This window comes from Homo sapiens, chromosome 1, assembly GCF_000001405.40.
Source record: "Homo sapiens chromosome 1, GRCh38.p14 Primary Assembly".
NCBI classification, from domain to species: Eukaryota; Metazoa; Chordata; class Mammalia; order Primates; family Hominidae; genus Homo; species Homo sapiens.
This window is the reverse complement of record NC_000001.11, coordinates 85,982,755-86,009,004: the sequence shown is the minus strand read 5'-3', so window position 1 is coordinate 86,009,004 and position 26,250 is coordinate 85,982,755. Positions and strand designations below refer to the sequence as shown.

Below are 26,250 nucleotides of genomic sequence, written 5' to 3'. Positions count from 1 at the left end.
TCAACAACAACGGTTGTCTTTCATTTGTTCAGATCTATTTTTGTGTTAACATTCCTTAGGTTTTGCACATTTTTTGTTAAATTTTTTTCTTAAGCATTTTATTTTTTTGTTGTTATAGTAAAAGGGGTTTTGTCTGCCATTATATTCTCTAATAGATTTTTGTTTATGTGTCCAAAGACTGTTGATTTTTCAATGTTAATTTTATATCTGGTTACCTTAATGGTTTCTTTTTTTTTAGTTCGTTTTGCCATTGATTTTCCAGAGTTTTCTAGACATGCTATCATGTAATTTTCAAATAGAGATCATTTTAGTTCTTCTTTCCCACTTCTTAAACCTTTAAGTTAATTCTCATGGCTAATTGTATTGTAATACCCCTAGTACAATGTTAAAGAAGTGGTGAGCATCCTTGCTCTGTTCCTGGTGTTAGTGGAAACATTATAGTGATTCCTCATGAAGTAAATGCTGGCATGAAGATTAAAATATTCATATTTTATTACATTAAAGAAATAGGCCGGGGATTGCTTGAGCCCAGGAGTTCAATACTGGCCTGGGCAGCATGGCAAAACACCATCTCTACAAAAAAGACACAAAAATTAGCCTGGCATGGTGGTGTGCATTTATAGTCCCAGCTCCTCAGGAGGCTGAGGTGGGAGGAACACTTGAGCCCAGGAGGCAGAAGTTTTGGTGAGCCGAGGTTACACCACTGCACTCCAGCCTGGGCCACAGAGCAAGACCCTGAAAAAAAAGAAAGAAATATCCATTAATATTTTCTTGAATGTTTTAAATCAGGGATCATTATTATATTTTGTCAAATATATATACTTGATTAAAGGTTTTATATTTCCTACATGTATGGAGATAATTATGTATTTTTTCTGTTTGGATCTATGTGTATGGTATATTAATGGATTTTTTATTGTCTCAACTTGCATTCTTGAAATATATTCTACTTGATTGTAGTGATCCTATTATCCTCTACAAGAGTGGCACATTTGTTACAATTGATGAACCTACATTGACACATCATAACTATCACCCAAGGTCCATAGTTTACATTAGTGTTAGTGTTCACTCTTGAAGTTGTACTTTCTATGGGTTTGGAAAAATATATAATGATCTACCATTATATTATTATACAGAGTATTTTTACTGCCCTAAAAATCCTTTGTGCTCTGCCCGTTCATCCCTCCTCTTCCCTGCCCTCAGCAACCTATGGGCACTGATCTTTTTACTGTCTTCATAATTTTGCCTTTTCCAGAATGTCAGGCAGTTGGAATCGTACAGTATGTAGCCTTTTTAGATTGACTTCTTTTACATATTAATATGCAATTAAGGTTCCTCCATGTTTTTTCATGGCTTCATAGCTCATTTCTTTTTAGCACTGAATAATATTCTGTTGTCTGGATATACCACAGTTTATCCATTCACCGACTAAAGGACATCTTAGTTGCTTCCAGGTTTTGGCAGTTATGAAGCTGCTGTAAATAGTCATGTGCAGGGTTTTGTGTGGACATAAATTTTCAACTCCTTTGGGTAGAATTAAGGAATGTGGCTTCTGGATCACACAGTAAAAGTATGTTTAGTTTTGTAATAAACTCCGTCTTCCAAAGTGGCTGTGCCATTTTGCATTCCAACTGGCAATGAATAAGAGTTCCTTTTGCTCCACATCCTCACCAGCATTTGGTGTCAGTGTTCTGGATTTTGGCCATTTTAGTGAGTGTGCAGTGGCACCACACTGGGTTTTGGTGGTGGTGGTGGTGGTGGTGGGTTTGTTTGTTTGTTTGTTTGTTTTGAGACAGTTTCACTATGTCACTCAGGCCGGAGTTCAGTAGAGTGACCATGGCTCACTGTCGCCTCAACCTCCTGGGCTCAAGTGATCCTCCCACCTCAGCCGCCTGAGTAGGGAGGACCACAGCCATGTGCCACTGTGCCCAGCTATTATTATTATTATTATTTGTAGAGACAAGGTCTCACTATGTTGCCCAGGCTGGTCTCAAACTCCTGGGCTGAAGCAATCATCACACCTTGGCCTCCCAAAGTGCTGGGATTAAAGTCATGAGCAACCAGAACCAGCCCACATTGTTGTTTTAATTTGCAGTTCCCTAATGACATATAATGTGGAGCATCTGTTCATATGCTTATTTACCATCTGTATATCTTCCTTGGTGAGGTGTTTGTTAAGGTCTTTGGCCTTTTTTTAATGTTTTTTTTAATTGTTGAGTTTTCAGAGTTCTTTGTATATTTGGGGTAACAGTTCTTTATCAGATGTGCCTTTTGCAAATATTTTCTTCCCGTCTGTGGTTTGTCTTCTTATTCTCTTGACATTGTTTTCTGCAGGGCAGAAGTTTTAAATTTTAATGAAGTTCAGTATGGATTGTGTCTTTTGTGTTGTTTCTAAAAACAACATACCCAAGGTCATCTAGATTTTCTCCTGTATTATCTGCTAGGATTTTATAATATTGCATTTTACATTAGGTCTGTGATCTATTTTGAGTTAATTTTTGTGACAGGTGTAAGGTCTGTGTCTAAATTCATTTCTTTTTTGCATGTAGATGTCCAGTTATTTCAGCACCGTTTGTTGAAAAGACTATCTTTGCTCCATTGTACTGCCTTCGCTCCTTTGTCAAAGATCAGGTGACTGTATTTATGTGGGTCTATTTCTGGGTTCTCTATTCTGTTCCGCTCATCTACTTATCTGTTTTTTTCTTCATTACCACACTGTCTCGAATATTGTAGCTTTATAGTAAGTCTTGAGGTCCAGTAGTATCAGTCCTCCAACTCTGTCCTCTTTCAAGTTGGGTTGGCTGTTTTGGGTCTTTTGCCTCTCTGTATAAAGTTTAGAATCTGTTTGTCAGTATCCACAAATAACTTATGGGATTTTGTTTGGTATTGCATTGAATCTATAGATCACATTGGGAAGAATTTACTTCTTTTTTATTTCTTTGATCATAATTTTATAGTTTTCCTCATATAAATTTTGTACTTATTTTCTTAGGTTCATAACTAAGTATTAGTTGGTGCTAATAACCAACTAATACAGTTGGTGCTGTATTGTGTTTTTAATTTCAAATTTCATTAGTTTGTTCTTGGTATACAAGAAGTCAGTTAACTTTTGTATATTAACCTTGTATCCTACAACCTTGCTATAACTGCTTATTCATTCCAGGAGGATTTTGTTCATTTTTTTCTGCTTTTCTGCATAGCCAATCATGTCATCTGTGACAAAGGCAGCTTTATATTTTTGTTCTCAATCTGTATGGTTTTTCTTTTTCTTGTCATATTGCATTATCTAGGACTTCCAGTATAATGTTGACAAGGAGTCATAAGAGGGGATATTCTTGCTTTGTTCCTTTTCTAATTTCTTTTTATTCTTTTATTTTTATTCATAAAATTATTAAGGTCTGTTATTTCTTCTCTGATCATTACTTTAAATGTGTTCAGTAGACTCCATATGGAGTATGTTTATTAAAATTACTTTTTGGTATTTTGTCATTTCAATTTGTATATCCCTTCTCACCCAATAATTATTTAAATAGGCAATTTTTAAATTTTCAAGTGGGAGAGCTTTTTCAGTTTTGATTTTGTTAATAATTTCTGGTTTCATTGCATGGTGATCAGAGACTTTTTTTTTTTTACTTTATGGAGCTTACTGATCTTTTTCTTTTTTACCTAATATATGTTCACCTTTTGTGAATGTTCAATGTCTTCTTGACAAGATGGTATATTCTTATTATCAGGTGCAAAGTTTGGTATGTAGTGATTTGCCCTTCCTTATTGATTATGTTATTTAGATTTGCTGTATCTTAACTTATTTTTGTTTTACGTGATCTGACTGTGTTAATAGGATGAACTGTGGCCTCTGTCAATCCAGTTGTTCTCAGAGCCACAACTGGTACTTTTCTCACTCTTTCACTGTCCATTTTACATTCCCCTCACCCTCAGCTATCACCTCAGCAGATCTTGGTAGCTTATCTGGTAGTACAACCTAAACCTTCATTGCTGAAGAGCATGTATGTTTGACAGGAGTACAAGAAGGTGCCCAGTGTATCACCTGAGTTTCACATATATTCCTTCCTGCCTTTATTGGATTGAAGCAGTCTTGCTTCCTTCTGTTTATCAGGGTCAATTAGTCATGCCAGTGTGGTGACTTCTCTTTTTATTTGTTCAGACCTGGTGACAAAAAGTCCAAAGTGCTCTGGTAGCAGTCATAATTTTTAGTTTATTAAGACCTTTGTTGTGTCTTCTGTCAAGAGAGACCCCCCACTTTGGGTAACAAGATCTTCAGCCCTGTAGAGTTCAGGGTGTGGTGAAGGAAGCACAGAATACAGTGTGTCATTGGGAGTGATGGTAAATAGGACCATACCTGCTTCCACCCCTTGGTCTTTAGACCCAAATGTTCATCCTATTTGGGACAAAACTCCATATGGGTCAGTGATTTAACAAATCCACTGTGTTCTAAAGGGTAGTACACCATTTTTTCACATTATTTTCTTTTAACTGGCACATCAATTATAACTTTAGAAGGAAATTCCAATGTTATGTGAGGCTGGATGCTTCTAGATTGGGCAGGATTAAAACTAATGGATTACATCATGGGCCTACTCCTTGCCCCTCCTTCAATGTAAAGAGGGTCTCCATTTTTGGATGCTGTGTTCTGTGAGGTTTCATGTCTGTGGATCAGGCATTCTGTAAGCCTCTAGATAGTAGTGCTAGTAGAACTTTAGAGACAAGAAAGGCAAACTCTTACCCAAATAAATATCTGTCTCTGTGATGATGAACTGCTGATACTTCCAGGTTGGAAGGTGCCCAATGTAAGAAATTTGCCACCGAGTAGCTGGTTGCCTTCTTCGTGGAATGGTGACATAATGTGGACTTTGTTGGTCTTTTTTTGCTGACAAATGGAACTTTCAGAGGCAGCAGAAGCTGGAACATCCTTGGTAAGTGATAGTACATGCTGTTGGGCTCATACATAACTTCTGTCTCTACTACCATGTCTTCTCCATTCATTTGATACTCATGCCAATCTGGGAGTGACCAAAGATGAAGGCTGGCTAATGTCAACTGGCCAAGTCATTTTGTCTACTTGGTTTTTTATAACCTCCTTCATGGTATATGCTTCCTGGTGGGCATTAATGTGTGAGGGCGAACTCTTTATACTCTTTGCCTAATCCCATGTGTCTAGTCATGTGACTCTGTCTCAGATCTCTCTTCCTCTATTTTTTTTTCCTCCCAGGCCCCTGACCAGATAGCCATGCCATTGATTACTGCCGAGGAATCTATATATCCTCACTTCAGGTCACTTCTCTTGCCACACAAAAGATGATGAGCTGGTACACTGCTCACAGATCTACCCCTTAGGATGACTTTTTTCTTCTCTGTTGTTATTCAGAGTATGCATAAGTGTACCTTTTTTGCTGTTGCTATCCATTTTCAGCTAGAACTGCCTACCAAGCTGACCCAACCATAAATCAAGCTGAAGCTTTTTCTCCTCCTCCAGCTAGTCATATGGGAGCTATTTTCTCACCCTAACACATATTCCTGTAGTTATAAGCTAGGAGAAGGTAACTGCAGTGAGTGTGAAGGTGACATTGGGGTTTGGGCTACCTATTAATGCAGCTTACTTGTTCCCCCGGTCCCACTTGGGTTCAATTCTGTATATAACATTTCTCCAGTATAATGGATTGCTGCTAGTGCCCATCTGAATTTATGTCTTGGCAGCCTGACAGAACCCAGGACATAATGGCAAGTTCTAAGTGTGTGGTTACTTAATGTCCCATAGTCAAGTGTCCTTCCTTTACCAGGTTCCAGTAACACCAAAAACTGTTTCTCAAAAAGCATAGTATTTTCTGCTTCAGATGACATGGCCTTACTCCAGAATTCCAGAGGCAGCATTTGTTTCTCTCACTGCAAACTGCCATAGGCTCCATACTGCATCTTCTCCCACCATAATACCTCCAATACTAAAGGGTCTTCTGGATTAAATATGCAAGTGGCGGGACTGATTGTACCATGTCCTAGACTTATGATGTTGCCCTTTCCTGTTTTGGGTGCTGCTCAAAGCTAGCAGCCTACAGTGTCACCTGGTATATGGGCTAGAGTAGTATTCCTAGGTATAGAATGGTTTGCTCCTTAGACCCCAAAAGGTGTGCCTTTCCTTTTTTTGTGGTGGAGTATGTAAGACTCTCAATTTGCTCTTGCCTTAGAGGGGCTATTCAAGTATATCCCTAACCACTGGGATCCTAAATCTTCAGAAAATTGGCCAGCTTATGAATCTTTGAAGGGTGTATATCCTACCATCTTGAGTGCATGTGTCTTGCCAAATTCTCTATTGTACTAGCCATCTCTTGCTCATCTTGTTCAATCAGCATGACATCACGTATGTAGTGGATTGGGGTGATGTTCTGTGGTATTCACTGAAGGTTCAGATCTCTTCAGACTGAACCTGTATCATATGACAGAGGCAGGAGAACACAGGAAAACTGTAAGTGACTATTGTCCATCCTACATGAATGCAAACTAGTTTTTTATTATCTTTTTTAATTTTAAAGGAAAAAGTTACATTTGCTTAATTGGTGACTATATACCATTTATGGGAAGACTTAGTAATCTTCTCTAGCAATGATACTACATCTGACAAAGCAGCTGTAACTGGGGCTGTGGTAGTCTACAGTCACCCTCCAGAATCTATGCGATCTCCGCAGGGGTGCGCCTGGTGAATTCAGCGATGCTGTAATAGGGACCACCACCCCTAAATCTTTTAGGTTTTTAATGGTGGCACTAATCTATGACATCCCCCCACACACAATGTGACTGACAGTCATAGAGATGTAAGTGATTGGCTGATCATCAGAACCCAAAGATCCACCTATGGGAATATCTCTGCCTTTTATGCTCCTCTTTAGACAATCCAATTCTTATTATTCATTTTCAACAGATCTTTGGGGATATCTATTATATATGTCAATTACTAAGAAAAAAAGTGCAGAGGTGAATAAGATTAGGTCCTGACTTCAGGAGCTTATAGTCAAGAAGTCAATATTCAATTATCATTCCGTGTCAAAGCCTCTACTGTCTCTGTCTGTCTTTTTTCCCAGACATCAGGTTTGATTAGGTTTGATAAAATTAAAACTTAAAAATCAGGTCATCCCTTGAAAGTCTAGAATCAGTGCAGTCCTCAGAGAAAGTTGTAAATTGTTGAAGAACTTTTTTTCCTGAGGCTCTTAGTCTCTCCTTTGTGTGTGTGTGTATATATATTTCCTCCCTTGGGCATGAGTTCTTTTCCATCTCAAACAATCGGTGTGCTCTTTTTTTTCCCCTATAATTTGCCCTTCCCATCAAAGCCTGTTTTCATGGAAAGACCTGATAAATATATTTCAGTCCCAGCAGTAAATGATTATGAGCTAACTGCAATGTATTCCTCTTTCAAGGATATTTACATTTCAGCAATGAACAGAAACCTGAAACTAATGCAAAATGTCATTAATCAAAGAATTTAGGGTGTCATTTAGTGAGCAGGGAAAAACTTATGGATGACTAGAAACTTTCATACCTCTCAACTTAACCATACCATGCAAATGGTCATCTACTCAACTAAAAAGGCAGGACAGGACTGGCCACCATTTCTTGCTAGTGACTTCTAGTTAGGAAACTCAAATCTTCATAAGAGTTGGTGAAAGCAAAGTACTCTGAAGTTTTTGTTGTAAATGCTATTTGCCATTGGCATTGAAGAGAACTGTTCATCATTAAAGACCAGCTGAGCAAATGTGACTTCAAACCACTTCAAAGATTTTTTTCTCTTCTTAATGTTTTACTTATTCTAGGCAATGTGACAGTGATGATACTTGCATATGCTGTAACAATGAAGTGAAAAGATCAGTGCATTTAGCTTTTCATGGAATTGTAAATATTAGAGGTGTTCCAAGATAAAACATCACTTGCCTTAATACATAGATTTATTTTTTCCATACTGGTTTTTGTCTGCTTTTAATAAAAACATATGGAAAATGCTCTACAGGAATCATTTCTATTTCTTTAAGCATAGTCATATCAGTTTTGAGCACTAATCCCATGTATCCTCTCAGTTCTGGCAGCAGAGCACCTTCTTATATGGTAGCAGGATGGTTGGAATGTTTGTTGATTCAGCTATTAAGCCCCCTGGGCTACAGAGATTGCCAAATATTTGAATTTTGGATGATGTACTTGGTATATGGAGCCAATTGTTTATGACAAAAATGAATCAAGACCACTAATCACAGCAGTGCCAGAAGTGGCCAAACAGTGGGTCCTCTTTTTCCGTCAGGGTGGTCTTCATTAGAGACAAAGACTGAAGTGAGTTTCAAAAATCTGGCTATATCAAGTAAAAGCATGCTTTTAAACTTCATTTTTAGTACTTCAGTGGACTTAACTGGAATAAGCTAGACTGTGGCCAGCTGTATTAATTGATTAGAATGTAATGGAATCCCTTTGCCTAAACAATTTACTTCTTTGATATCTTTTATGACTTGGATTTGGATGAGAAATTTCATGTTTTTAATTGTCACTTAAGTCATGCTGAAAGAGCACGTGTGATTAAATCAGTCAATAAAAAAAGTATTAGGTTTCTGCTATGTGCAAATATGTGCCTAGTAATCACTGTAAGATATATTAAAAAATAAAATGTTATCAATAATTTAGGAAAATTTAGTCTAGTTGGGAAGAACGAAATCTATATGTAAACTGTTAGGTAATGGTGAAGGCATCATGTGAGAATTAAGGAGTTGTTATAGTTCAGTGTTAGTAGAGATAGATTAACATAAAATGAAAGGATAGAGAAGGGTTCATAGAGAAGATGGAAGGGTTTACAGAAATGATGGACCTTGAATTAGATTGTTTATTAATAAATTGCAGGAAAAGAGGAGGGCATTCCAAGCACAGTGAACCATATAAGCAGAGCCTAGAGACCTAGGTTAATGCATGGTGGATTTACAGGAGTGGGTGACACTGGCTAGCTGATACAGTTTTTTTGTGTGTTGGCACAGAGTGACAAATAAGGCTGTAAAAGTAGGTTGGCATCAAATTGTATAAGACCTTATATTTCAAGCTATGTCAGAGGCAGCATATTCAGTGGTTAGGCAATGTGGGCTAATGTTGCAATTCTTGTGTTGTGAAAAACTATGAGACCCCCCTCTCATCTCCCAGGTGAACCAACCAAAGTTCTATTTCTTTGCCTGGTTTTTGCTCATACTGGTCACAAATGTTCATCCTTTTATACTCATTGTAGATGGGAGTCTCTGTAACTATTATCTACAAGGAGATAGAGTCTTCTGCCTACCCAGGATGAATCTTTTTTTTCTTTTCTTTTCTTTTTTATTTTATTTTATTTTATTTTACTTTATTTTATTTTAGTGAGACAGGGTCTTGTTCTGTTGCCCACCCAGGCTAGAGTGGCGTGATCACGGCCACTGCAGCTGCAGCCTCCAGGCTCAAGCAGTCCTCCCACCTCAACGTCTCAAATAGCTTGGACCACAGGCATGCACTACCACACTCAGCTAAGTTTTTTATTTTTTATTTTTGTAGAGATGGGTTTTCATTGTGTTACCCAGGCTAGTCAAGCTATCTGCCTATCTGCCCACCTCAGCCTCCCAAAGTGCTGGGACTACAGGTGTGAGCCACTGCCCCCAGCTGGAATCTTAGTACTAGTTGTTACAATGTTGCAAACCTGAAACTGTTCACCAGATTGATGAGGAAGTCTTTCTGCCCTTTGAACTTATTTCCCTGTACTTGGCCTGAAGCTGTCTCTCCCAGTACCTCCTCTAAACAGGCAATAAAGTGGAGGACCATTTATTGCCTGGTTGACCATATATTTGGTTTACATATTCATTGCCATTTCCCATGGGCTTCTCTCAAATCCTGTTAATCATCTGTGAGGCCCTAATACTTCCTCCTCCAGAAAGCTATGTCTCTATCAGTATCCCATCTTCATCACCAAAATTGTCAGAATCGGAGATTTTATTCCATTTGCAAGCCAACAATTTAGCCTGACAGTTTCAATGATTCTGGTAAAAGACACAAGCTCCTAGAACAATGACAAAAGATAGTTTATTACTCTTGGCAAAAGCACTTTCCAGAGTGTCAACTTTTTTGCACTGATTCACTGAGCCCCACTTCCCACAGGGTGACAAGAAGAGGGCTAGATGATACTTGCATATGCGGTAGGTTGCATTACATAAGAGGAATCTGAAGTTTAAGGAGCCTAAATCTTTTATAATGGGCAGTCAGAAAAGATAATGTATTCCAGAGAGATATTATCTCGTTATCTTGGACAGTACGCATTCCTTCCTGCCCTTTGCTTCAGGAAGCAATGCAAAAATCTCTGAAGAGAGTGACTGGAATAATGCAAAGTCAATACCTCATTTGCAGAATGTGTGGAAATGCAAGGGACCAATGAAGAATTATCTCCCAGTGACATGTGAAGTTAAATATTGGAGGTACAAAAATGGGTCAGATACATTCCTTTTCCTGCATGAGCTTACATTTTATTGGAATAGAGAAACATGCCCTTAATTACAGTATAGTATGAATAATGCTAACTAGCCATATTAACAGAGTTGTGTATGGATATAAAATAATCAGTGCTGATTCTGACTAAGGTGGATTGTGAAAGTTTTCATAGATCATATTACATTTGAGTGGGTAACAAGTTACGTGGTGCAAGAACCAGGGGCATGGAGTACATGGGTGTTTGAGCAGTGACTTGAAGAAATAGTAGGGATTTATCAAGTAGAAACAGAGGGCAAGGGCATTCCAGCCAGAGGAAACAGCATTTGTAAAAGCACAGATGTGTGAAGAAGCTAGATGTATGTAGAAAACTGCAAATAGTTCAATGTTTTAGTCAGGTCTTTTTCCATTGCAAGTGACAGAAACTCAGTTTGAACAGTTTTAAGTTAAAAAAATCAGAATTGGCAAATAAAATCAGGAAGTCCAGGAGTGTATGTGTCTAGAGACTTGGCTAGGTACAGGAACTTGATGAATATAACCAAGACACTCTGTAAATCTTATCCTGGCATTTCTCTGTTGGCTACATTCACAGGAACACACTGTAGAAAAAGTGGTCATTGGCAACTCTAGGCTTCTGTTGCCCTCAGATTTAGCAATCTAAGCAAAAAGAAAGCACTCTTTTTTTCCTTATATCTCTAGCAAAAGTTCTTAGGAGACTCCAGCCAATCAGGCTTTGACCACATAATCATCTTTTTTTTTTTTTTTCTGTAGCCAGGCTGGAGTGCAGTGGCGCGATCTTGGCTCACTGCAACCTCCGCCTCTGGGTTCAAGCGATTCTCCTGCCTCAGCCTCTGAGTAGTTGGGACTACAGGCGCATGTCACCGCACCCAGCTAATTTTTGTATTTTTAGTAGAGATGAGGTTTCACCATGTTGGCCAGGATGGTCTCGAACTCCTGACCTTGTGATCCACCCAAGTTGGCCTCCCAAAGTGCTGGGATTACAGGTGTGAGTCACTGCGCCCGGCCCACATGATCATCTTTCAATCAATTGCAATAGCAATGGAATAGGAATACTGTAATTTGCAAGATTTAGGTCATTTTCCCACCCCTGGAAACTGGGATGGGGACGAGAGTACATGGACTGAGAAATGGGGAATAATGTTTCCCCAAAGAGATTTTTAGCAGATTGAAGACATGTCCTCTACATTTCACATCTTTATTGCCCAATATCTACTTATACCCTCTTGCTACTTATACAGTTTTAAACGTGCCTTTGCCTAACATAGTGCAGGCACCTACACAGCTGAAAATGCACTCTCCTTTCTCCAAAGGAAAGTACCCCAAGGTACTGGCCAATTATTGCTTACATGTCTAAGGCCAAGTTCTCAGGGTAAGATGCATTATTTTCAATGAGGCCTAAGTACCTGTATACATTTCTACTAACTGGTATATATATATATATATATATATATACACACACACACACATATATATATATATACACACACACATATATATATGAAAGAAAACAAGATATCCCATTTGAAGAAAGAGAGAATGTGAAACAACATAGAGTGACCATAGACCCATAGCTGTGTATCTAAAACAAAAGTAGGTAATTGAGACATGCCAGTTCCTCATAACAATATAAATCTTTTTTAATCACCTAACTTCCCACTCCATGCTGCAAACATACACACATTGAAAGGGAGAGAATCTCTGAGATAAACAGTCTCCAGAATATACATTCTATGAAACCAAGGAATCTTTTTGTTTGTTTTCTAGTATGTGATCAGTGCAAGAACAGTGCCTGATACATAGTAACTACGTCTTGTCTTGACTAAGTTAATTTATATTCTTCTTTGTTTTTTGTTTTGTTTTGTTTTGTTTTTTGAGATGGAGTCTCCCTCTGTCGCCCAGGCTGGAGTGCAGTGGCGCCATCTCAGCTCACTGCAACCTCCGCCCCCAGGGTTCTAGCAATTCTCCTGCCTCAGCCTCCCTAGTAGCTGGGATTTCAGGAACCCACCACCATGCCATGTTGGTCAGGCTGGTCTCAAACTCCTGACCTCAGGTGATCCACCCGCCTCGGCCTCCCAAAGTGCTAGGATTACAGGTGTGAGCCACCGTGCTCAGCCGAATTGATATTCTTAAGATATTTATAAGAATTCTGAGACAGATATATAGATATTGAGTACCTATAATTATACTTAGCCAAAAATATGCAGTAAATAATGGTTATGCTGTTACCTTCAAACAATTCAAAATCTGAGCTCCACTGATTTTATCTGGGGACAAGTTCAATAAATAATTTCTATTTTCTCTCAAAAGATCTTCGAATTATTACCAACTGTTGCCTACCAAAAAGGAGCATCTGAAACACCTAATACCAATTACCTTTTTTTGTTGCAGCTTTATAGAGGTATAGTTAACATATAACAAAGTTATATGTGGTAAAATTTGATAACTTTTGACATATGTATAAATTGTGAAACCATCACTGTATTCATCCATTCTCGCACTGCTATAAAGAAATACCTGAGACTGAGTAATTTATAAAGAAAAGAGGTTTAATTGGCTCACAGTTATGCAGGCTGTACAGGAAGCATGGTTGGGGAGGCCCCAGGAAACTTAACAACCATGGTAGAAGGCAAAGGGTAAGCAGAAACATCTTACGTGGCCGGAGCAGGAGGAAGAGAGAAGGGAGAGGTGCCACACACTTCTAAACAACCAAATCTTGCAAGCACTCAGTATCATGAGAGCAGCACTGAGGGTGAAATCTGCCCCCATGATTCAGTCACCTCCCACCAGGCCCCACCTCCAACATAGGGACACAGACCCAAACCATATCAATGAACAAAATCAGGATAGTGAACACACCCATCAAACCCCCAAATTTTCTTGTTTACATTTGTAATCCTTCTTTTCTGCCTCTCCTTCCCCCCTCCCTCCTCAGGGTACCATGGGGGGATCTGCTTTTTGTCACTATGGATTATCCAAACCTAAATATCAAATAATGGCCAGAATAGTTTATTTTTGAATTATAACTTAACTATAATTTTATGTGGACTTTAGAAGACTAAAAGTAGACTTTCCAGCTAACTTTGTAGTTTCCCTTAAAAGTGATGTTAAAAACACTGTGAATATCTGGGCACAGATCGCTTGTATCTCTAATCTTAGCTACTTGGGAGTCTGAAGCAAGAGTATCACTTGAGGCCAGAAGTTCAAGACCAGCCTGGGCAACAAAACGAGACCACATCTCTAAAAAAAAAAAAATTTTTTTAATTAGCTGAACGTGGTGGCACACACCTGTGATCATGCCACTGTACTCCAGCTTGATTGACAGAGCAAGAATCAATCTTTTTTAAAAAAAATACTGTAAATACTATCTAAACAAAAGTCTTATTTGGAACACAGAATATATGTTTTGTCATAAGGAATTTTATTGTCTTTGTAGTTTTGTGGATTTTCTCTGTTGAGTTTTCAGGATGCTGCACATATGGAATTGAGCTGTGCTATATTTTCTGCTCAAATACATAGAATTACAGAAGGGAAAATATATGAATAGCAGTAGTCACTAAATTTCTCAGCAGTATCATGATGGAAAATACCTGGTTTTGATGGCTTTTAGATCTAAAACAGCAAAAGAAAATGAAGGAGAGGCAGATACCTAGATGGATTATTTTGCATTTTCAAGAAACTGTATTTTCTGTTTGTGGTTTCCTCAGAAGACAGAATATTTCCTTCATTTGCAGTTTGCATGCTTCCCTGTGCTAAAGTTTAGTTTCTATAGATTACTGGGAAAGTGAATTTATTACATTTGCCTTTTGAAATTTTTTTGGCATTAACTTTTGGATAGGTTATTCTCACTCAGTAAAGGCTATTTTAATGTTTTTCTTTTTTATTATTACTTTCCTACCTGGACTCATCATATTACTGACATGACATGTGCTTCCATAAATGTTAGAAAACAAAATCTTGTGAGTGTAACCTGCATCCTTGTCTCAGACCAAATTATCCTCTTACAAAACCTCTCTCCCTCTGCATACATTCTTACTCGTTTGAATATGTAAAATTTCAGTCCTGTCTGTAGAAGCTAGGCTAGTTTTTTTTTTTTTTTCAGGATAACTTTGAAACTGCCTAATTGAAAAAGTTATTATTCAAATAGGATTTATTTTTAATTTGGTCATCAATTCAGGCCATTGAATGTTTATTGAATATAAACTATATATTCAATAATACTATATATACACAACACCAGCCAAGGCTTTGCATAACTTTGCCCTCAAGAATTCATAATTTACATGTTGCCTTTATTAATTTTATCTTTTAGCTTTTTTTAATGATTGTTTTTCCAAGGGCTATATTCATCTCTACTTTGTTCAGACTTATAAACTACTCAGAAGATACATTTAAGCCAAACTATGCTGTGTTCTTGTATATTTAAAGCACAGTGGATATTAAATCAATAATTGAAATTTTCCATGGGAGTTAAATGGCCCAAGTGTCACTCTTATCTATAACAACAGGACATCTTAAAGCTACCTTGCAAAATATCAGAAAAGTTTCAATTTTCCAAAATATGTAATTTGTTTTAAAGCTGTTATTATAATTTAACATGCTATTACCTCTAAAACAAGCCAAAATCTGAGCAACACTGATTTTATCTGAAAACTAGTTCAACTAATATATTATATATTCTCTCTAAAGATCTTTAAATCCTTAAAAAATGTTGCCTACCATAAAGCATATGGTTATCTAAAATACCCAATACTAAATACCTTTCTTTTTACAGGCTCATTGAGGTATAATTGACATATAATAAGCTGCCTATATTTAAATTTTACAATTTGATAATTTTTGACATATGTATAACCTGTGAAACCATCACCAAGATCAAGATAATGAACATATCTGTCAAACCCAGTAATTTACTTGTTCACTTTTTATATAATACTTTATTTCTGTTCCTCTTGTCTTCTCCCTTTCCATGCTACTTCTGATCTGCTCTTTGTCACTCGAGATTAATTGGAATTTTCTAAAGTCTTTATATAAACTGACTCACATAGTATGTACTCTTTTTTTTTTGTCTGGCTTCTTTCACTTAGCATAAGACATTTGAGATTCGTCTAGGTTGCCACATCTAGGCTGTTCGTTTTATGGATATATTGTAATTAGTTTGTGTATATGTGTATAAGTTTATCCACTTACCATTTTTTAACTTGAGGGACTATATATTTCAATAGAAAACAGATACTCTAACACTTCTATTGGAAAACTATTAAAGTGCTCAATGTATGTAGCGCATAATATAATGTATTCTGTTAGGACACTCTAGCTTCCAAGCTTCTGGCTACTGCCAAATAAGAATGATAATATTTTACTTTTATGATTTCCCAGGAAACTAATGGAATCTGCTAGTGCTTCGGTTCCCAGGTTTTGCTTTAAAAAAAAAATGCATGTGAATTAGTCTCCAGCCTCTAGTGATTATAGAATAATAAAACTTTGTTTTTACTGGAGAGAATGCTGAGTCACTCTTCTCAGTACGGCAAACAGATGTGAAGGGTCTGAAAACAGAAGACATATTTTCACATACTATTTTTAAAACTACTTCTTTTTTCTGCTTCTTGGTAAAAATTGGTGGTCAGACTAGTTCTATTAAGAAGACACCAGAAGCCAGACTGCTGTTTCTTTCCTTCACTAAGGTATTATATTTTAAATTCTGATAGGATGACTTAACTGAGGTGGTAAAACACATTGTGAGAGAAAATGTTTGGACTTATTAATGTTTTCTAAATTATTTTAAATTTATAAAAATGAATTAGAGCATCTTTATCAGATTTTTGTTTTTACTTTTCTTCCTGTATCGTTTCATGCTAATGTAGTTTTTAGAAATGAAAAGTATGGACTCTAATGACGTACTTTTTATTTTTCAATCTGTAAGCTTTCTGAAATTTTGCTACTTGGCAAAGATGTCCATGTTATTTGATGTACATTTTGAGTGTGTTTAAAAAAAAGGTTTCCTTTATAGGTACGTTATCATTAATGTTCAGTTGATACAGTTAACTCTGGTTTTAACATATTGAAATGTATTATTTAAAAGGCAAGGTCTCTACTTGGTAGTAATCTAGGTATGAATTTTTAAAATAATGAAAAGTTTCTTTGGCCAGGGTTCTAAGCTCTCCTATGTGGGAAGGAAATAGAGATCTTTCTCCTCCTTTTAATAACTTGTGCTTATCATATACACCATGGAATACTATGCAGCCATAAAAAATGATGAGTTCATGTCCTTTGTAGGGACATGGATGAAGCTGGAAACCATCATTCTCAGCAAACTATCGCAAGGACGAAAAACCAAACACCGCATGTTCTCACTCATAGGTGGGAATTGAACAATGAGAACACATGGACACAGGAAGGGGAACATCACACACTGGGGCCTGTTGTGGGGTGGGGGGAGTGGAGAGGGATAGCATTAGGAGATATACCTAGTGTTAAATGAAGAGTTAATGGGTGCAGCACACCAACATGGCACATGTTGTTACATATGTAACATATGTAACAAACCTGCACATTGTGCACATGTACTCTAAAACTTAAAGTATAATAAAAAATAATAAAATAATAAAATAAATAAATAAATACAAGCCAATAAAAATAAAAAATAAAAAATAAACTTGTGCTTATATATTTGTTAGCTTTTCAATAAAGTTTCAATTTTAAAATATTCAGCTTGTATGACTATACTATGAGATCAGCTGTGTTGACATCTTTTTCTTCTATTATCCTTGACCTTACCACTTTGTCTTTTTAATATTTCTCCACTGATACTTTAATGACGTTTTAAGGAGCAGAGATTCACACGTATATTCAGTGTTGCATGTTTACCCAGAAGTCACCCCAGCAAATTTTTTCTTACCGTTTTATTGTAAAGTAAAACATAGACACATAAAACTATACAAAACAAATGTATATCACAAACAATTATAAGACAGACTCTTGTAACTACCACACAGGTCAAGACTAAAACTGACAGTTACCACCAGAAGCCATTATGTGCCCCATGAAACCACAAGCCCAGCTCTCCTCCCAAAAGTAAGCAGTTCCTCCTTTTTAAAACATAGTTTATCACACAAGTGTGCATCTTTAAAAACTATAATTTAGGCTTATTTGTTTTATTTCCTATGTCTTTCACTCTACAAGTTCTCTCTCTATTCCCTGTTTTCCCCCTTAAAATTTAGTTGTTGAAGCTCCCCAATCATTTGATCTGTAGTTTCCCACAGTCTGGATTTTGCTGATTATAGTCTCATGGTGTAGTTCTGCCTGTTTCTTGGTCCTGTGTGTTTCCTGCAAATTGGTAGTCACATATAGAGACCTTACCATATTCAGGTTTGTTTTTGGCAAGACAATCAGTGGTATTCTGTTCTTTTATCAGGAAGCACATAATGTCTGGTGATCTCTTTTTGTGTGTGTGATGTTAGTAATAGTTGATGCTCAGTGCCTAGATCAATTAGATTATTTGTATCATTGCAAAATGGAGATTTTTTTAATCCTCTTCTTTCTTTTTCACTTACTGGCTGGAATACATCCCTTCATCTACTGTTTGGTTACTAGTGGTACACTAAGGCAGAACAAATTCTTGATTCTTCACCTTTGTTTACCATGTTTCAAGATAATGAGTGAGCCTCCTTTCATCCTTTGAACGTGGACAGTTTTTGTTGTTGTATCATTATGAACTTATGAACTTAAACATATTTGATGTGTTTCAATCCATTGTAGTTCTTATCCTTGTTGAAGTTCATATTGTCCCATATCTGGCCGAGGGGATCCTCTTCAAGCACCTACTAAGCGTTTTTAATATGACTCTACTTTTGATACCTTCGAAAGCTTTCTTGTTTTCTGGCATGATACTGCAGGGGCCCCTAACACCTGGGCTGTGGACCTGTACTGGTTTGTGACCTGTTAGGAACTGGGCTGCACAGCAGGAAGTGAGTGGCAGGTGAGCAAGCATTACTGCCTGAGCTTCACCTCCTGTCAGATCAGCGGCAGCATTAGAGTCTCATAGGAGCACGAACCCTGTTGTGAACTGCACGTGTGAGGGATCTAGGTTGCATGCTCCTTATGAGAGTCTAATGCCTGATGATCTGAAGCAGAACAGTTTCATCCCGAAACTATCCTCCATGCCGCAATCTTATGGAAAAATTGTCTTCCATGAAACTGGTGCCAAAAAGGTTGGAGACTGCTGTGATAGTGTGTTCCAGGCTTATCTGGAGGATGGACAGGATTTATTGATTTATCCATGCAGATGCTATGAGTAAATGCTCTAAATTGGCTGAAAGCCAGTACTGAGGGGCTACAACAAGCCACGAAACATGTACTTTCTTTCAAAAAAAAAAGAAAAGAAAAGAAAAAACAAACCAGTCATTCAACAGCAGCAACTACAACAACGACAAAGCATTTTTTAAGCACTTACTGTGTATCAGGCATTGTACTAGTTGCAGAGAATATGGAAGTGAATAACATAAAACTGCACTCAAAGAGTTTACAATCTGATTAGGAAAACAAAACAAGCCAAAACACTACATTAAGGGACCTTATAGGACCCCAGGATGGTGTGAGAGTTCTTAGAAGCAACCTAATTCAAGGTATGGAGGTCAAAGAAAAGTTTGCAAGTAAAATGTTATTCAGTCGTCTAGTTAAAACATAAGTGTTCTAGGTGAGGAAACTTAAGGGAACATTATTCAAGGTGAGGGAAACAGTATATGCAAAAGCCCAGAATTGAAAGAGAGTATATATTATCAGAGTATGAAAATTGTTCAGTGACTGAAGTGCTGGGTGGTAGAGAGTAAAGAAGAGAGATAAATAGAGACCACCAAATCACGAAAGACCCTGTAAACTGTGTATTAAAGAATTTGGATTCTATTCTGAGGCCAGTAACAAAGTGGCATGCTCAGATTCCATAGAATGATCAGTCTGGCTACGGAGTGAAAATGAATTTTACAGGGGATAGGAACATGAATAAGCAATAGGAAAATAGAGAAAGTGACTTGCCCTAGGGTTGTGGAGGGAGGTTTGTAGAAAAGTGGTTCAGACTGACAGTGAATTAGGAGATGTAATGGATGGGGCTTAGTAAATGATTGGAAGATGGTCGTGGTGGTGGTGGGGAGGGAAAAATAAGTATTCAGAGTATATCAAAAATATGAAAGTATTCAAAGCATATGAAAAATCTGTTATACAGATTTTTGGCTTGGAAACTGGTGGATTACCTCAAGGTGACATTCACTCAAATAGTGAACAGAGGATGAGGGAGGAACATAATGGAGAAGGTAGTAAGTTCAATTTTAGACTAGCTAGTGTTACAGCAGGAGCTAGAAGTGTCTTGATTCAAGTCCACAAGAAATCCCCCCCACAAAAAAACATACTAACAAAAGGTGTGTTCTAGAGAAAGGGTGTAAAATTATCAGGAAAAGAATCTAGTTTTTTAAAAATTGCCATATATACAAATAATAGCATAGGTGAGCCTGATTTTCTTTGATTAGTAAAGCAATCAACAAGTTTGTATTAAACATATCTGTATTAAACTATTCCAGAACATTCAGAAATCTGATCTTGTGATCATCTTTCTGTTGCCACTGCTTTTTCTTTTGCCAGAAATGTCCCCAAATTATATTTTTCCTCACAGAATCCAAGCTTTAAATCTGAGTCGAGGCATTCGTGTCCTAATCCAGACTGGATACGTTGGTATCATTTTCTTATTATTTGTTTTTCTTTCCAGAATGAATATCCCAGAAACAACTTTGCTGTTCCATCTTACTTCATATTTTTTATTCCCATTACAACTTATCCCTTCACTGAACTACCTTTTCTTGTGGATGTTCACGTTTTAATTTCAGCCTTCTTTACTTTTAAAGATGCTGATTCTTATACTTCTTTTACTTTTTTCCTTCACTAATGTCAATGGAAAATAATCTATGACAAAATCAATAAAATGAAACCACAATTACTAGCTTATTACAATTATTGAATCATAATTTGATGAATCACACTCTAATTATTTCAGCAAGAGTTTTAATCTGATACTTTTAAAGCAACATTCTAGGCCTTTTCCCAGCATAGATTGTATTTAACACTGTGATCCATTTCTATTTCTTTTTCATTTCTTGAGCCAAGTATTTTAGACTGCTAATATAATTTCCAAAAAAGTAAAATCATGATTCTCATGCAAATTTAAAGTAAACACAGGTCAAAGATTTTATTCAATTTATTAATTAATGATGGAACTTGTAAGATAATGGTTCATAGAGCCTTTGAGGACTTAAGTATTTATAGACAATTAAATATGGGGATGTTAGAATAAGATAGTTGGGTTAGATACAAAACTGATTAATCCTGTATATTAAGCCATAATTTTGGGTGCTGTTTTTTTTTTTTATCAGACAGAAGTTGTTTGCATCTCTGCCTAACAAAAATCTATAAGTTAACATGTAGTTAGTAAATAGTGAGTCCAACAAAGTACATTCACCTAATCTTTGGTAGCCCTATATCCCATATGATGTTGAAAGAACATGTCATACACCTTTTTGCCTTATTTCCACATTGTGGATAATTTTGGACTGAGACTTCTACTCTCTTAAACTGAACTAGAGGACCTCAGGATTGTTTGTGAATCACTGATGGAGTAAATTCTATTTTAGTACACTTTGTAAGTTTTATATTCCAGTGTTAAACAACTGCCTAACTTAATCTTCAATATTGAATTTTTGAGGATTATAAATTGCTTTAACTGGATATGGAGGAATAGCAAAGGGAATTTTATATGCTAAATGGATTTAAAGTAATTTTCTATGGAATAAACGCTACATTTTTATATTCCCTAGGGTTTTCCAGGAGATATTGGGATTCCTGGACAAAACGGCCCTGAAGGACCAAAGGTAAGAAGAAGAAGAAGAGAGAGACTAAACAATTATGGTTATCTAGAGCTCCTGATTCTCAATAAATGGGAAAAATATTTTAGGAATATCAGAACATTTCTGGATATTTTTAAGCTGTCTCAGGTACATTTAATAAACTTTAGGTTTCAGATAGTTGCAAATGATTTTTCTAGTTTGATATGAACTGAGATTAAGGGTGACAATATTTGCAAAATCACCCAGAAGGATTTTTTTGGAAGAGATGAGGAGAAAAAACTCTAAAAAGTCATAGCGTATAAAAGGCTGAAAATAAGTAAATGGATGAGAATTCCCTGACCACTAAAAAAATCTTTTGGGGACATAAGATATCCATTGATTGAAATAAAAGAAAGCCTGTGGTGTCCATGAACCTCTACATAGCACAAAAGACCTGAAGAAACCCAAGCATTTTTAACTTACAAGTGAAACCACAATTATTAGCTTATTACCGTTATTGAAACTCATCATGATGACTCACATACTAATTTATTATTTCGGCAATGCTTTTAATCTAACCATTTTAAAGCAACGTTCTAGGCCTTTTCCCAGCACAGATTTTATTTAACACTATGGTATATATACAAACTTACTGGTTTGTATGTATACTAGGAAATATCCCTAGCAAAATTTTAATTACCAAGATTTGCCATGCAAGCTGATGTAGAATGGGCACTGTAAGCAAATAAAGCATTATGAATTCACATGTAAGGATGAAATAGCCTGAAGTTGGGAGAATTGGCAAGTTATGAAATGTAGCTGCTATGGAGGTATCAATGGGAGTAGAGAGAGATGAAATGATAGGAGATGAAGCTGGAAAGGATCTTGATTATAGCTATATTTGTTAGTGTTCTTAATATTGAGCAGCACAGTACTCTAGTAAATGCTTCATAGACATTATCTCGTTTATAGTCATTATCTCATTTAATTTTCACAACAGCATTATGAGGTAGTTATTCCCATTTTACAGATGATTAAGTTATTCACTTGAAGTCACATAACTTTAAGCTATATAGCCAGAATTCTAACACAGATATGATTTCAAAGTCTGAGCTCTAATACCCTTAGCTTTGATAGTAAATTACGTAGAGCATTCAATACCATGCTGAAGAGTTTCTGCTTCATCAGACGGGCATCTTGAAGTAATCAAAGATATTTGAGTAGTAAAGTATCTTCAATGGTTATATTTTAAAAAGATACCTCTTATGTCAGTTTGGAGGATGGTTTAAAGAGGGGAGAAATTGAAGACAGGAAAACTAGGCAATAAATAATAAAGATTGGAAACAGGACATTCATTCAGCAGATATTGGCTGCCTCTCATGGCAGCCATTGTGCTAGACCATAAGGCTACAGAGATCCCTACTTTCAAGAAAAAAAAGAGTCCTGATCCCTGTTTTCAAGAAACTTAAAATCTAGAGAAAGATATTCAGGAAAACCTTAATAATAATCATAATGAATAATATATAATCAGCAATACTGTGAGAGCACAGGGTCAGGGAAGTCAAATTATGTTTTGCAGGGAAGATAGCACTTGAACCTACATGAATGAGTAGGAATTTGTGAAGCAGACAAGGGGATGTATGGTATTCAGGAAAAAGAAACTTGTGAAAAGGTGGAGGTGCAATATTTGGAAAATATTTATAATAGAAGTTATTTGTTGTTTATCTGAATTTCACATTTAATTGAGCATCCTGTAGTTTATCAGGCAACCCCACCTGCCACCTACAAACTTATACCTATATGCAGGGATCTTTCCCACTTCCTTTCTGTCTCCACAGAAGCATTCATTCACCTCTTCAAGTTCTGCATATGTTTTGCATCAAATCCTCCCCTGACTCTTCAATGACCTCATGCCATCAATTATCACCTTTATCCCAATCTCTCCTTTGATAGAAATTTCCCCTTTACCCTTAAAATCATTCTCAGTGCCAATCTTGTAGTTAGGCACCCTTTATTTTTCACCAGGATAGTGTAATTGTCCTTCAGTAGTTGTTCTTCCTGCCTCCAATCTGGCATTTCTTCCTATCTACCTTCCAGCTGCAGATGGAATAATCTTTTAAAGTATAGATCTCATCATGTCACTCTTTTGCTTAAATCCTTCAGTGACCTCCACAACTTCCATGTTAAGGCTTGTACTTTTTAACTTTTTATACAACGTTCTTTATGACCAAACCCTCTCTGTATAATTCTGTAGTTATACAGTCATATCCACCATCACTCTTCCAAAAGCATCACTTCAGCCAAACTATTTAGAGTGCCAAACCATGCCATACTTACTCAAATCTCACAGCTTCTTACATGCCATATTTTTTGTCTGGATATATATGTTCCTATGCCCTTCTGCATCTAGCTAATACCTACACATCACATGCAACATGTCCAGGAAGCTTTTTCTGTTCCTCCCAAATCTAATTGGAATATTCTTTTCCTATATTCCTGAAAAAAAACCTATCAAGCACTTATCTTTATGTATTATAACTTCTGATGTGCTTATGTGTCTATTAGACTGTAATCTTTTTGAGAAAGATTAATTGATTTTATATACATCATAATAACTATAATATGGATAGCACATATAAATAACTCAGTGAATAGTGGTTGAATGGATGATTAATTGAATGACCATTTAAAAAGTGTTTTGGAAATAAAAACAAAACAACTTGGTAACTGATTAACAGAAGGTGATGGAAGAAAGAGAAGTCAAAGATAAAGCAGCCTTTGACTTGGGTTGCTGATGTCATTGAACTTAAATAGGCAACTCAGGAAGAGGAGCAGTTTTGGAGGATGGGGATGATAAGAAATTTGATTCTGGTTATATTTAGTTTGAGGTACCGTTTGACATCTAGAGGTAGAAATAATTAATAGTTCGCGGTAAACCAGGTTGAAAAGCAGAAATAGAAGTATGAAGGAAGTTGAGAGAGACAAATAGTGTAGAGAATGGAGTTGCGGATTTTTCCTGCCAACTTTAGCCCTTCACCTGGTGCATACATAGGAACTTGAACTTTATACATTATATAAATACATTTATTTATCCATTCATTCAATAACTTATTTATTCAACCTTTGTTGAGCTTCTTCTGTGTTAGACCAAGTAATAAATGTGGGATTATAAAGATTTCTAAACTCTCATCCCTCCTCCAGATAAGGTTACAATTTAGTGGGAGAGATAAAAAATAATCATAATTAAGAAATATAAGAAGTTCTATATAAAAGAGTTGGTGAAGTGCTCTGAGAGCCTAGATAATTGAGCAATAGATTCTCTCCTGGGTAATTGAGAAATATGTACTTCAGGTGGAAGTAATAATAGAACTTAATGTTTTTAAGTGTGCATATCATACTAGGTGAAGAACCAGAGAACTTTCAAAGTTCTCTTCAGTTTGGGAATTTTGTTTCTCTTGAAGTTTAAGTGTCAGAGAACTGAAGAAAGCCAACTGACCTATTTAATTTTCTTTTATGACAGTGATCTTTAGAACTTTCTTCTCACTAATTCTTTTAGTCTTGAAATTAGAATGTCAAAACTGGGGCAAAAGACTTGAAAGCTAGACATTTTAATGAACAACAATGTTAGTACTTACTACCCACTGGAAATTCAACCATTATCTAAGTTTATTTAATAAACATGAGTATGTAGAGTCATTAGTACCAACATCATGAGACTAATTGATGTTATACACATCACTGAATTTTAAAAGAATATCCTGGGATGATTTTATCAAAAGAACAAGAAAATAATAATTTTCTGTTCTGTAGATTGAGAAGGATCTGGTTTTGTCTATCTTCTTGGTCCTTCTCATTTTTGTTGAAATTGTTTCTAGAAACAGAGGGGAAAAACAGCCAAACATACTGACCCTGTTAACATGATGTGTTTCTTTAGCTGGGTGTACTGTATCATAGAAGCAAGCATCTTGAAACTTCTTTCATTTTTATATACATGTCTTGTTTGGCAAATGGGAATGATAAAAACTGCTAAAGCTCTGTTGAGGCTATACAATGTGGTCATCGAGAAAATCATGTGCACTGTATTTGAAATACATGGTTACCCTATTTGCAAACAATTTGGGTTCTTTCCAGAGCAATTTGGCACAGCAATAAAGAAGGCTTTTATTTTCTGTTCATTTTCTGCCAGTTCACTAAAAACCTCAAAGTAGGAATGGAAACTTGTGTTAATTATAGTTCTACTGATTGTGGATTTGTATGTGTGTGTATATTTGTATTAAGATACAAAACATACATCAGTAAGCCTTTTTGAGAACTACACAGTTTGGGAATCCGCTTTCAAGAATCCCGTAACATTAGCAAAACCAGATCTTTTGCTGCTTACTGCAGAAGGTAAGAGTAGCAAATAAATATTCTCTATTCTCCAGTAAACAGAGGAATAATTTATTTGTTGCTATAAAGGTTTGTGTTTTTACTTTGGCTATGGAATTAGGGATGCTAAAAGAGGCTGTTATTGTCTTTTGCATAGCAGACCTGATAAGTTTTTATAGAAAGCTTACTATTTGTGGGATTATGTTGTGTAATATATGGAAATAGTTCTTGCACTGAATTATTACAGTATGTCATGTATTTATCTGTAGAGAGGTAAGCTAACTTGGTAAGAGGAAGATGTATAACTCTACACAGTTTTCTAAGATTACTTTGACCCAGTCCTGAAGATTTACATTCTATATACTATAACAGGATTTTATACACAGATTTCTTGTATAAGACATTTATTCTCCAGGTAACATTTAGTCAGCTAAGAAATATTTATTGAGTTTGTACAATGGGAAGGGTACTGTGTTTAAGCAGTGACTCAAAAACAAAATTAAAACATGGTCTTCTTTTTGTT

General features: G+C 36.3%; 1 protein-coding gene across 22 annotated transcripts in view, besides 1 other annotated feature; it reads left to right on the top strand.

Annotated features, from left to right (window-relative positions):
* The window catches only part of COL24A1 (collagen type XXIV alpha 1 chain), a 427,752-nt gene that overhangs the window by 147,980 nt on the left and 253,522 nt on the right, over positions 1-26,250 (top strand). For 16 of the 22 annotated variants that reach the window (NR_146342.2, NR_146344.1, XM_047417004.1 and 13 more), the window contains one exon: positions 21,351-21,404. Coding sequence is in view for 16 of the 22 variants with exons in the window: in XM_047417004.1 (XP_047272960.1) it covers positions 21,351-21,404 (54 nt within the window). In the remaining 6 variants the exon portion in view is untranslated. Of the gene's footprint in view, positions 1-3,549; positions 4,938-21,350; positions 21,405-26,250 lie in introns of those variants that run through there. The other 6 variants (NR_146340.2, NR_146341.2, NR_146343.1 and 3 more) reach the window with 3 other exon arrangements.
* Positions 15,966-16,045: an enhancer, noted in NCBI's record as "active region_1274". NCBI's record gives its function as "activates an Ori minimal core promoter by ATAC-STARR-seq in GM12878 lymphoblastoid cells {active_cell/tissue: GM12878}" and the evidence as "EXISTENCE:reporter gene assay evidence [ECO:0000049][PMID:35858748]".